At 35.2% G+C, this 12,562-nt stretch overlaps 2 protein-coding genes across 13 annotated transcripts in view; one reads left to right on the top strand and one right to left on the bottom strand.

Moving 5' to 3' along the window:
* CGGBP1 (CGG triplet repeat binding protein 1) overlaps positions 1–12,562 on the top strand; it is a 97,921-nt gene that overhangs the window by 21,184 nt on the left and 64,175 nt on the right. The gene's annotated exons all lie outside the window — the stretch shown is intronic.
* Positions 1–12,562, bottom strand: part of ZNF654 (zinc finger protein 654) — an 85,406-nt gene that overhangs the window by 15,974 nt on the left and 56,870 nt on the right. For 4 of the 12 annotated variants that reach the window (XM_017006789.3, NM_001350134.2, NM_001350137.2 and 1 more), the window contains one exon: positions 2,418–2,553. The exons of 5 other annotated variants lie outside the window; for them this stretch is intronic. In XM_017006789.3, the coding sequence (XP_016862278.1) occupies positions 2,418–2,553 (136 nt within the window). Of the gene's footprint in view, positions 1–2,383; positions 2,554–12,562 lie in introns of those variants that run through there. 3 more of the 12 variants (NM_001366097.1, NM_001366093.1, XM_024453623.2) reach the window with 2 other exon arrangements.

Raw genomic sequence — 12,562 nt, 5'->3', positions numbered from 1 at the left:
CCTTAGTAGGAGTTTATTTGTGAAAATATTCAGTTATATGGTTGGAAAAAGGAAAAGAAGAGTGACACCAAAACAGTGCTCAAGAAATATTTGTTGATTTCTTAGTCTAAAAAGTAAATAACAGAAACAAAATTTAAAAAAAAATTTTTTTTCTTCTTTCAGTTCATTAATATGTTAAAATATGTTCCAAGTAACATGGGTCTATGTCTTTTTAGTCTAAGATTACATACTTTATCTTCTTACTGCTCAATATTTTCTTTAAGATTAAAAGGCTGAATCCTAATCTGTCACATTAAAACCATGTTAGTTCACATTAATTATAGAGATGTAATCTGAATTAATGAAAAAGTTGAATCACAAGAAAAATATATTTTATTTAAAGATAAAATTAATCCAAAAGTAGTGCCAAATAGGACTGCTTATTAATATACATTTATGTATTACTAAGGATAATTACTAATTAATACTTTACACAATTTTAAAATATATAAACACCATTAGCTAAATAAATTTATTTAGACCTAACAACAACCTTATGATGGGTATTATGATACTAGCTTTATAGATTGCAAAACTGAGTCTCAGAGAGGTCAAATGACTTGCCCAAGGACAAATAATTAAGTGGCAGAGCAGGAACTGGAACCCGTATTTTTATGATTTTGAATCCAGAAGTATTTTAATTACTTATATTTAATCAGTAGCTTCTAAAGTGCTTACAAATGTTTTATTTTGACTTAAAAATTTGTCTTGCAATTCTGTTTACAATATATGATATGCAAACACTGATTTGTATTGTTAATGCAAAGATAACTTCACTCTGGTCTTTCCCCTAATGATCACCAACTAGAGAAAAGTCATCCATATCAATGAGGCTCTAGAGCAGCTTTTCCCAAAGTGTGAGGTATGCTAGTATAGGTATCAAAGGAGTATTTATTATTTTAATGTAATTCCCAGCCTAAAAGGCCATCAGCCCTCAGACGAACGAACAACAGGTTTATTCTAGATCCTACGAGTGAAGCCTAAATCTATCCCTTAAAAGCTCAAACTTTCTTCTCCCCTGTCCTCACTTCTCTTGAAACTCTGTCTTTGTCTAGCTTCTTCCCCTCTGGGCACATGCAGTCTCCTCATAATTTCCTCTAGTCTGTCACCCTTGCCTTCCCTATATTTGACTCTTCATACTTCTTCAGTAATCCAACTCTTCCTCCTCAGCAACAACTCTCTCCCTTTTAGTTTTTTTTTTAACTCCCTTTCCAAGATCCACACATCAAACACCAGTGTCCTTTTTACCCCTTGGGTTCTTCATAACACTGTCACGTATACCTTAGCCCTATCCTCCTAGTCTTGTCCCACCTCCCATCCCTTCACAGCTCCTCCTCCACTTAACTGCATTCACAACCCACCCTAACCCCTTAGCCTGTGACTAACAGAAATAACCTGCTCAACAAAATTTGTGGTATGAAATGTCTTTTTCACAAAACCAAGGTCTAACTGGTTCCAGGGTTGGGAGGTCTTGTTTTTTTCCCCTTGGCTGTCTCATAACTAAACTCCATTGGCTCTCTCCACACTTTTAAATGTTTTCTACACTTTAGTGCTTATTCACTGTTACTGAGCTTACATTCTACAGTTTTGGTGATCCAAAATGTTCTGGGGTTCAGGAATGATATGGGGAACATTTTAAAAAAGAATTAACAGCAGTTGACAAAGCCTCCTGCCTTGAAAGGAAATTTTGGCCTACAAAGGACCGCTGTTAAATCAGATTGGACAGGAGGTGATATCAAAGAAATATGCAGGTAGTAAGGGTATAAGACAAAACTTCTAATGCATGAAGTTTGGGAAATACTGCTCTAGAATTCAAATTTATTCATTCAGTTAGTCACTTATTCACTCACACATTCATCATGTGGTCATTCATTCAATCAACAAATACTTATATTAAGCATCTACTCTGTACCAAGCACTGGGCTAGCTATAGGATATGCAGTAGTAGTGACAAAAATTCAGAGTTCCAGCCCTCATTAAGTTTCCTGTGTAAGGGAAGTGAGATTCCATGTGCTTTCATGAAAAGCAGACTTTTTGTTTCTTAAAAAAAAAAAAAAAAAAAAAAAAAGATGTTTCTACTTAAACAAATTTTAATAATATAACTGAAGTGACAAAAATACACTCTCTGTAAATAAATAACATCTAGTAGATGTGTTACCACTGAGAATTTCCATTACAAGAAATAAATGTACCGATCCAGGTGTCAGAAGTCACTTTGGGCCAGTTTAGAAAAACAAACACTTTTCATGTGAAAATACATCACTCCCATTATTCAGTATTATAAAATGAAGAAAAATTACTATTACTGCTCTAGTTAGTAAATGAAAGTGTATTTGCTTCTCACAAATGTTGGTTTGATTTTGAATCTCCTGAAGTACCTATCTCCTGAGATGCTGGCTGAGCTTTAAGGACAGCTTGCAACACTGGATCTTCCCATGGGCCACCATCTCTAATGATTCGAGTCACCAGTTCCAGATTCACATTTCCATATCTGCGGAGGTGATTCTGGCATTCCTAGGAGAGAAAAATCATTTTGGCTCTGTGAATTTAAAGGGGTTAAAAACTAAACTTGATCATCATTGTCAATAAAATGACTGATGGCCAGTGAGGCAGCTATTAAATTATAAAAGAGAAAGGGTTACTATTGTAACCTAAGTAGGGTGTCGAAACCCCATGAACACAAATAGGCTTTAATGCCAAAGGTTATACAGCAGTATCTGTATAACTGGACTTAGAAAATCCCAAATAGGGATGACGTGTAACCTAAAGGACACATCATTTCTAGGAAAAGAACCAGGTTGCAAAAAACTGAAACTTAAATGTTCAGTTAAATTTATATAAAGGTTCATAAAATTTCTCTTAACAATGGCAGGCAAGAGCCTGATAAGAAAAAGAGAGCGTGGTAGGGCAGGGGGCGTGGGGTGTCTGCTAAATGTAAAGTCTCTCTCTGGCTGGCAGGTAGACAAAAGTCTCCTGTCCTGATCCCAAATATATAATCTAAATCGTGGTAGAAGGCTGGAAGATGGAGATTCTGTTTCCCTTTGTTGGATAATTAGATTTGCAGTTCTGGGATTAAAAAAATGACAGGTTAAAGAAATAAATCTATAAATAAGTAAATCCAACCTCTACTTTGCTTTAGATTTAAGATAAAGATGTATTGTTAAGTTGGGCAATAGTTGTGAATTTGTCCATACATTTTCTAGGTTTTTAAAAAAAGATATTTGAAATGTTTTTCAGAGAATCTGCTTGGACTTGTCATTATAACATGAAATTTGTAACAAGTTTGTATGCAATGAGTCTTAGTTTACTGAATATATAAATCTCATTTATTAGATCTAGATTTATAAGATCTGTATAGTTTGATTATGCTTTTTGGCTCATTACATACTTTATTAGATATTGGTTTTTTTTTGTTTTTTTGTTTTTTTTTTTGAGATGGAGTCTTAACTTTGATGCCCAGGCTGGAGTGCAGTGGCACGATCTTGGCTCACTGCAACCTCTGCCTCCCAGGTTCAAGCGATTCTCCTGCCTCAGCCTCCCAAGTAGCTGGGACTACAGGCGCGTGTCACCATGCCCAGCTAATTTTTTGTATTTTTAGTAGAGACAGAGTTTCACCGTGTTAGCCAGGATAGTCTCAATCTCTTGACCTCATGATCCGCCTGCCTCGGCCTCCCAAAGTGCTGGGATTACAGGCGTGAGCCACCGTGTCTGGCCAAGGTATTGTTTTTTAAAATGGTTCAGAGAATCGAATTTGACAATTTAGAAAGATTAACTGAATATCTAGTAAAAGTATTATTTTCAAAAATGCATAAATAGAGCTTAAAGCGTTAAGAAAAAACTAGATGTAGAAACTGGCAATGTTGAAAAAAAAAAAACTGAGTATTGTACATCAATCAAAACACAAGCAATTGCCAGAATTTAATTCTGTGCTCACAAAATCTCTGATATTAAAAACGTAGTAGCAGTTATAAAGCAAAGCTTCAGAATTTAAAAAAACATATTTTCAGAAATGTTACTTATTAGATGAATCAAGGCTACATATTCAAAGTGGCTACAAACACTTTGCTTTTATTAAACTGTCATATTCTTTCATAATTTGCTGAGATTATAAAGTGATTTATATATGCCACGTTGCATTCCTGGTTAAAATATACAAAAGAGGTTTTACTTGTTTTATGAGAGAAGAAAGTAGTAGAAGAAACCAAGTTTTAAAATAATCATTCAGTCCAGTCAAAACATCACTTATAGTCAAACATTATGAAAATAAATATCTTCTAAGTTATTTAAGGTTGGTCCCAAATTAAGCAATCAAGCAAACAAAAATCCTACCAACAATGGGCAAGTTACTTAACCTCTCTGCTCTATCAGTCAATTCCTCTGTAAAATGGATACTAAAACACCTACTTCATAGGATTGTTGTGAGGATGAAGTAATAATATACAGTACTAGAAAGTGCTTGGAACAGTGCCTAGCACCTAGTAAGCGCTCAAAAGACATTAGCTATTATTTCTTCTAGTATTTTAACAGTTCGAATAAATATCTTATTTTAGGGCATCTAGTTTCCTTGGCATGAAATTTCTGCATTTCCACATGTCACCATGTTAAAGCATTCATTAAATATGGGGTAAATATAAAGGTATTGATCAGCCATGAATTTAACATACATGGAACACTGTAATGATTCTTGGGAACAGCTTCATGGGTTAAAACAATGATCAACTGAAACCTCCCAAGGTAAGCAAGGTAGCAAGCTCCCAAATTACTCTAGACATACAGATGACTGCCCCGAAAATTCAACTACTCTAAGCTAGCTTTTGGTCCAATCAAAGCATGAGAAATAAGGTAAGTTGGACACTAGTCCCTGAGTCATTGGTGAGCTTAGTTCTGCTGCTCAGTCCTGGGACAATCCATCTTTCTAGTTGTCTAAGGATAGGTGAGGCATCAGTCAGTACTATGGGACTTAGAACTGGACTTAGGACTAAGTCAAGATGTATTTCCAACTTCCTGAAGTTGGCTGAAAATAAGAAACACTTAGAGCTCTTTTTAAAAAACAGATTCCTAGGACCTAATTTAGACCTACTGAATCAGAATTTCTAGGGGAAAGCCCTGATAATTTGAATATTTAACAACTCCCACCCACAGGCAACTATGGGACACTTTTAATATTACACCTCCCACACTTAGTGTCTACTCCCATAAATGATTACATTATGAATTATATACTTGACTCTTGCCAATCTTTGTTAAAAATTAGTAAACTAGCTTCCATTCATTTTTCTAAGATAAAAATTAATTATAAATGGTGTTTTTGTGTATGTACACTTCGTGGGTCAAAAATACCATATTTTGGAGACCACTCTTATGGAAAACAGCTCAGGATAGGAAACAGATGAAATAAAGATTTCATTTTGGTCTATTTAAAAAGACAAAGGAAGAAAGAACAATAAGCTTACAAGTATTTTTTGGCTCCTCGTTCCTTAAATAGAATAGTGGCTTTTTTGGATGATATTCAATTTAAAACCTCGAAGTGAATAAGGAAGCACTTAAATTACTGTAGAATGCACAACTTATTCTCTCCTAGGGTATATATACACATTGTATTTTTCTTTTTTTCTTTTTACTTTTTTTTTTTTTTTGAGACTCAGAGCCTCACTCTGTCGCCCAGGCAGGAGTGCAATGGTGCAACCTTGGCTCACTGCAACCTCGGCCTCCCAGGTTCAAGTGTTTCTCCTGCCTCACCCTCCTGAGTAGCTGAGATTACAGGCGCCCACCACCATGCCTAGCTAATTTTTGTATTATTAGTAGAGACAGGGTTTCACCATGCTGGCCAGGCTGGTATCGAACTCCTCACCTCAGGTGATCTGCCCACCTCGGTTTCCCAAAGTGCTGGGATTACAGGTATGAGCCACCGTACCCAGCCATACATATTGTATTTTTCTAGAATATTTACTTAAATAATAAATTGTGCCTCTATATCAACTTAATCCTTTATTAAGTCATCAGTCTACTATTATTGATACCCACATTACACTGTGCTAAATATAATCCCCTTAATTACTTCCATTCAACTTTGTGTCTTGGCCAAAGGTAGAGCGAAAATACAACTCCCTCACTTCTTTCAGAATACATTTCTTAATATTTTACCCCAAAAGGAAGATTCTTTTCCCTGAACTGGTTGCCATTTTAGAGAAGGCACCTACAACATGTGTCTGTGAAGCTATGGATCAGTGTTCTGGCCATTCTACATAATTGGTCTGGATCCGTCAGCAGTTTATCATAGGATGAAAGTCTTACCACTTTAATCTCAAATTTAAGGACTTCTGGACTTACCTGCCTACTCATTCACCTATTGCACATCATGTATTCTTTTCTTCAGCCTGGTCTCTTCCACATCTCCCAAAATTCACCTTGTCTTTTCTTACCTATGCCATTTCTCATGTCATTCTCCTACAACTTCCATGAACGTATCTAAATCCTATCTTTACACAATCCCACTTTCCCCAAGAAGCTTCTACTAGCTACCTTAATCCATAATAAACTTAATTTCTTCTCCTGCCATATTGAACATTTGTGCTACATTATTATGTAAGAGGAAGGCCTTGCATTACTATCTTAAGTGTTGACATCTTCTTAGGTGGTTAAAAGTTTTTTCAAACAGACAGGAAGGGAAAGGTGTGCCAGAGAAGATACATTCTCAATAATAAGTAACTTTTTAATCAAAATAGGGTTTTATGGAAATCTGTGTAAATGGAAGCACTATGGAGTCTGAACGAAATGAAGATTCCAGAATAAAGCTACAGAACACCACCTATCCAATTCACTCATAAGCAAGTTACTGCAGCAAATTAAGACAAAAATGTAAAAGGTCTTCAATATGGTTAATATTATAAAAACGTAATCTTTGAAATACAGTAGTCTTTATAATACTTTGAAATGAGATGAGAATAATCATAAATCTTATTACACATTGATTGGTTATCTCATAGCAAAGCACTTCATAAAGTTATAAAATTTAAGGATGTTATGCATTTTTCCTTTACAAAAAGGCAATCATGTTTAATTTGCCATTCTTTTTTTATGATAGGTTCCTGAGGAATATTTACCTGGTATTTTCAAAAATTAATCATTCTGAGCTTGCCCATATAAAATAAAGGGGACAGTTATAACAATGAAAGAAGTTACTGTTTTTCAATAGAAAGTTTTTACAAAGAAAATGATTTAAAATGAACATTTGGAAGTATCTGCATTTATTACATGATTGCTGTTGCCAAAAATCAGTATGTCATGTATAATGCTTCTATTATGCCATTAAAAAACTTAAGAATTTTCTGTTGAAAAAATTTTCAACTGGAACATTTTAATGAGTTTTTAATTCATTGTTAAAAGTGGTTAGTATTAAAGAAAACATAGATTGACTTTAGGAATACAAATTTGGTAGTCAAATTTTGCATAATTCACGGAAGGCATTTTAAACTGAGCATCATGATTCAGAAAGGAAAATTTTCTTTTTTTTTATTTTGCTCATCTTTGTTTGGATTTATTATTTATTTTACTTTAAGTTCTGGGATACATGTGCTGAATATACAGGTTTGTTACATAGGTATACACGTACCATGGTGGTTTTCTGCACCTATCAACCCATCACCTAGCTTTTAAGCACCACATGCATTAGGTACTTGTCCTAATGCTCAGACAAGAAAATTTTCTATCAAAAGTATCCTTTCAACTTATGACCAAACATCAAAGTAAACTGAACCTAAAATCAGACTTTGAATTACTATATCACTGTGATACAGTAATTTTGAAAATTTTTCAAAAATACGCTATAATCACACTAATGTCACTGACTTTATACTGTTGAATTTAAAACATTATTTTAGTTTCATCCTTTTTAAATGTACTTTTGTTTTATAATGTATATAGTATGAGTACATGTGCGTAAGTAATATACGCATAAAGAGGATATGTGCTCAAACTGTATTTTAAAAACTGTATAGTAAAGCAGAAGTCTGGAGACCCTGGTCTTAGGTATTATTTGTTTTTATATTTGTGTTTGGGGCTGAATGTAAAACTCATGTTTGTCTTCTATTGATTATCATGTCAATTTTCTTCACCATCTCCTGATTTGCTTCTTCCTTGCCATTTCTACAATTACCATTCTAGTCTAGGCCTCTATCGACTACCACTCAGATCACCAAACTAAAGTTTCTTCATCCCTCCCCATTCCTAATAAGGCAGTCTTTAGAAGGTTTTAAAAGCTTAGACAATAAAGCTCTCAAGATAGCAGTATAAATAAAACATTTAAACCTGTTCTTTTGCCATATACATTACTGTAAACATATAAGCATATTTTTATAATGGATTAGGGAATATGGCATAGAAAGAATTAGAATGCTGGGTTAAGAGTAAGACTTAGGCCCTCATTCTGCTTCTATAAACCTCAACTCTGTTGCAACTTAATTTTCAGATATGTAAAATAAGGGAATTGGATTAATAATTTTTAAGATGACTCTCAGTCTCAAAATTATAAAAATATATGAATGCCTATAAGTTACATTATTTGATTTTTTTTTAAATAAGTAGAATTATGTATTTATTGAGCTATTTAAGGATATCCTTTTTGGGACTTGAAAAAAAGAATATTTAAAATATGAATAATTATTCCTTGTTTAATAAGTAAAAAGTAATAAATGTACATGCTACTTTTAATTAGCAGAGTTTTATCTGAAGAGGAAGCCAATCATAACTACGGTAAAACCATCAACTAACAGCATAGTCATATTTCAAAATTAGTTGGTAGTTGCCATGCTAATGGAAGTACAACCCTATCATTAGCATTTTAAAATAAGTAATGAATTAATATGGCTATCATATTAATTGTCGCTGTTCTAACAACTGTCATCATCCTAACACAGGCCTTGAAGCAGAATTAAGGTGCATGCAAGATTTTTTGAGCACAGGTTTGCATACAAAGAAATAAATATAAAATTTGATTTAGCAGAAAGAACACTGGAGTCAGTCAAGGCAACAGGTCACAGTGCTGCCTAAGCTACAAAGTGGGCTAGTTAGTCTCCAATAATTATTGTTTTTTTTTTTTTAATTTATTATTATACTTTAAGTTTTAGGGTACACGTGCACATTGTGCAGGTTAGTTACATATGTATACATGTGCCATGCTGGTGCGCACACCCACTAACTCGTCATCTAGCATTAGGTATATCTCCCAATGCTATCCCTCCCCCCTCCCCCCTCCCCCCACCCCACAACAGTCCCCAGAGTGTGATGTTCCCCTTCCTATGTCCATGTGTTCTCATTGTTCAATTCCCACCTATGAGTGAGAATATGCAGTGTTTGGTTTTTTGTTCTTGCGATAGTTTACTGAGAATGATGATTTCCAATTTCATCCATGTCCCTACAAAGGACATGAACTCATCATTTTTTATGGCTGCATAGTATTCCATGGTGTGTATGTGCCACATTTTCTTAATCCAGTCTATCATTGTTGGACATTTGGGTTGGTTCCAAGTCTTTGCTATTGTGAATAATGCCGCAGTAAACATACGTGTGCATGTGTCTTTATAGCAGCATGATTTATAGTCCTTTGGGTATATACCCAGTAATGGGATGGCTGGGTCAAATGGTATTTCCAGTTCTAGATCCCTGAGGAATCGCCACACTGACTTCCACAATGGTTGAACTAGTTTACAGTCCCACCAACAGTGTAAAAGTGTTCCTATTTCTCCACATCCTCTCCAGCACCTGTTGTTTCCTGACTTTTTAATGATTGCCATTCTAACTGGTGTGAGATGGTATCTCATTGTGGTTTTGATTTGTCACACAGTCAAAGTGCAGTTGAGTAGACCCAAGAGAGAATTATTTGAGCAGAAAATATGGTAGCACAGTTTTGAAAATTCGCCTCAAAAAATGCTTTGCTATTAAGCTGATATGGTTGTTTTCTTTTAAAGCCTTTTAGCTAGCACTACAAAGGTTGTTGTGACTACCAAGATTAGGACCTTCCCAAATTAAGTCTTTGGGAAACTTATTCCAAGTACTCTAGAGAAGGGCCATGGTCCAGGTTTTGAGGTTTTAGTGGAAAGTCAGTAGTTCTAAACGTCTTCATCTTAGCTAAAAATAATAAAATCTGGGAGGTTTGCTGGTTTATGATGACTATACACTCATTTCTTAGGGGAGATCAACACTTGCCCCACAAAGGAGGGTGGGCTTTTCAACTCCTTTCATGTGGCTGGCTCTTTTACCTTTGATGATTTTTTCCACTTCTCCTATGGTATATTACGCAGTGAGATAGCGTTGAGCCTCCTGCTTGGGACATGATATCCCATACCACCTCCTAACTCCCTTTCCTGACTGACCCAAAGGACAAGCAAATAAAAAACAGGTTGTGTCTCAGGGAAAGAAGGCTTTATTAAGGCCTACTTCTAGCCTGAACAAAAAAGATCTTTGCGACTTATATACTGGCTTCACCGGATAAGGATAGACTTTTCTCTAACGTCAGGGCAGGCTCATTAAACCACTTGCAGAGCTTTGGTAGTAAGACTTTTAGATTACTGGTTTAGTTGGCATTTCAGTTACTACCCCACAGTTGCTTTTTTCCCTTATTATTAAAACAACAACAACAACTAAAACATCTATGTTTCTCTTAATTTATAAAAGTAGTAAATGTTCTTGGTTGTTTTTTTTTTTTAATCATCTATTGGGCAATAGTACTGGTAAGTTCCAGACATTTAAAACTCAGTGTGTCTAGAATGAAACTTAACAACTTTCTCTATGCTGCACTTCCCCTTATATAATCACTGCTCCCTTAACAAATGTCACCACCCTGTAGTTATTTCCGCATAGATGCCCAAAAATACATTTGATTCTATCTTCCTTATCTCCATCCAATCAATACCATAATCTGAGATCCTAGTTCCAGATTATTGTGTGTGCTTTTTACAATTTGTATTTTCCTTTTCTGGAATCATTAGACATTAATGGATTCTTCATGATAACCATAATAAAAATGCCTTATTTTTTCCTCAGGTCAGTCCTATTTCTTTTATTCTGTAATGACCCCATTTGTAAATTCTTTATTTTGATCACCTGGCATACTACTTTGTTGTCCTGATAAAAGACCTGTCATCAGTTTGTTTCCAAGTATTTAGACTATTTATTTCTGTTGCTCTATCTTATAAACTATAGGGCTTGACAACTATATTATTAAATCATATTTTTCCTCTTAAAAAAATCCAGACATTATTTATGCTGGCATTTGTTACTATAGAGAATTTTATTGCCAGCCTGATTTGATTTTTTCCTTTGTGGGAATCCTGTTTGTTCTACATGAGTCCTACATTTTCAGGAACTTTCCTTTATCCCCAAAATTAAAAAGTAGAATCAAGTTATGTCTGTAAGTAATTATGAGTTGAAAATTAAATTACATTTTAGATATTATTTCCTTCATTAATTTGGTTTTTACTGGAGTTAATCTGCTAATTGCCTTCACTGTACTTTCAATTTGATAGTTCCATCTCTATATAATATTTTACCTCTGTATGTTCTTTCGGGTTGTCCCTTCTTTGCAATTTCACTTATATTCATGGAAGATATTATAAACTCAACCTCAGCAAAAACGTAACAGATCCTTTAAGAAAAAATTTTTTTAAACTGTCTTATCTTTCCAGTTAACTGATGATAACTGAGGTATTTATCCTCTTTAGTCATCTTTACCTAGAACATCTAGAACAGAGAACTGTTTTACTAGCAGGTGAATAAGTCTCTGTCAAATCCTTCATGCCCAAACAAAGAGAGAAGAAGAAAGTTTACATGTACTACAGTTTAATTTAGTAGATCATGGCCTATGAGAGAGTAAAGAGGATGCTTCAGTGAAAGACAACCACACCTCTCTTATAAGACTTTCTTACCTCTGGGTAATGGGGCTGGCTGCATTTAGTTTGGATCATACCCTCATTCTCTCAGTGGGAAGAATGCTCTCATGAAAAGCCATATATATACATATATATACACACACACACACAACATATATACACACATATATATAATATATGTGCATGTGTGTGTGTGTGTGTATATATATGTATGTATGTATGTATTTTTTTTTCTTTTGAGACAGAGTTTCGCTCTTGTTGCCCTGGCTGGATGGAGTGCGATGGTGTGATCTCGGCTCACTGCAACCTCTGCCTCTCAGGTTCAAGCGATTCTCCTGCCTCAGCCTCCCAAGTAGCTGGGATTACAGGCATGAGCCGCCACGACCTGCTAATTTTGTATTTTTAGTAGGGACGAGTTTTCTCCATGTTGGTCAGGCTGGTCTCGAGTTCCCACCCTCAGGTGATCTGCCCGCCTCGGCCTCCCAAAGTGCTGGGATTACAGGGGTGAACCACTATGCCTGGCCCATATATCTTATTTTTAATGTGGGTATAAAAGTCACTCAGGATTTCTGTCCTTTAGGCTCTGCTGCATGCCTGATGCACTTCTGAGAAGCAGCAACAAGAATGAGATTGACCAC

Source organism: Homo sapiens, chromosome 3, assembly GCF_000001405.40.
Source record: "Homo sapiens chromosome 3, GRCh38.p14 Primary Assembly".
Classification (NCBI taxonomy): domain Eukaryota; kingdom Metazoa; phylum Chordata; class Mammalia; order Primates; family Hominidae; genus Homo; species Homo sapiens.
Note: the sequence above shows the minus strand (reverse complement) of the source record. Positions and strands in the feature narration are given on the sequence as shown.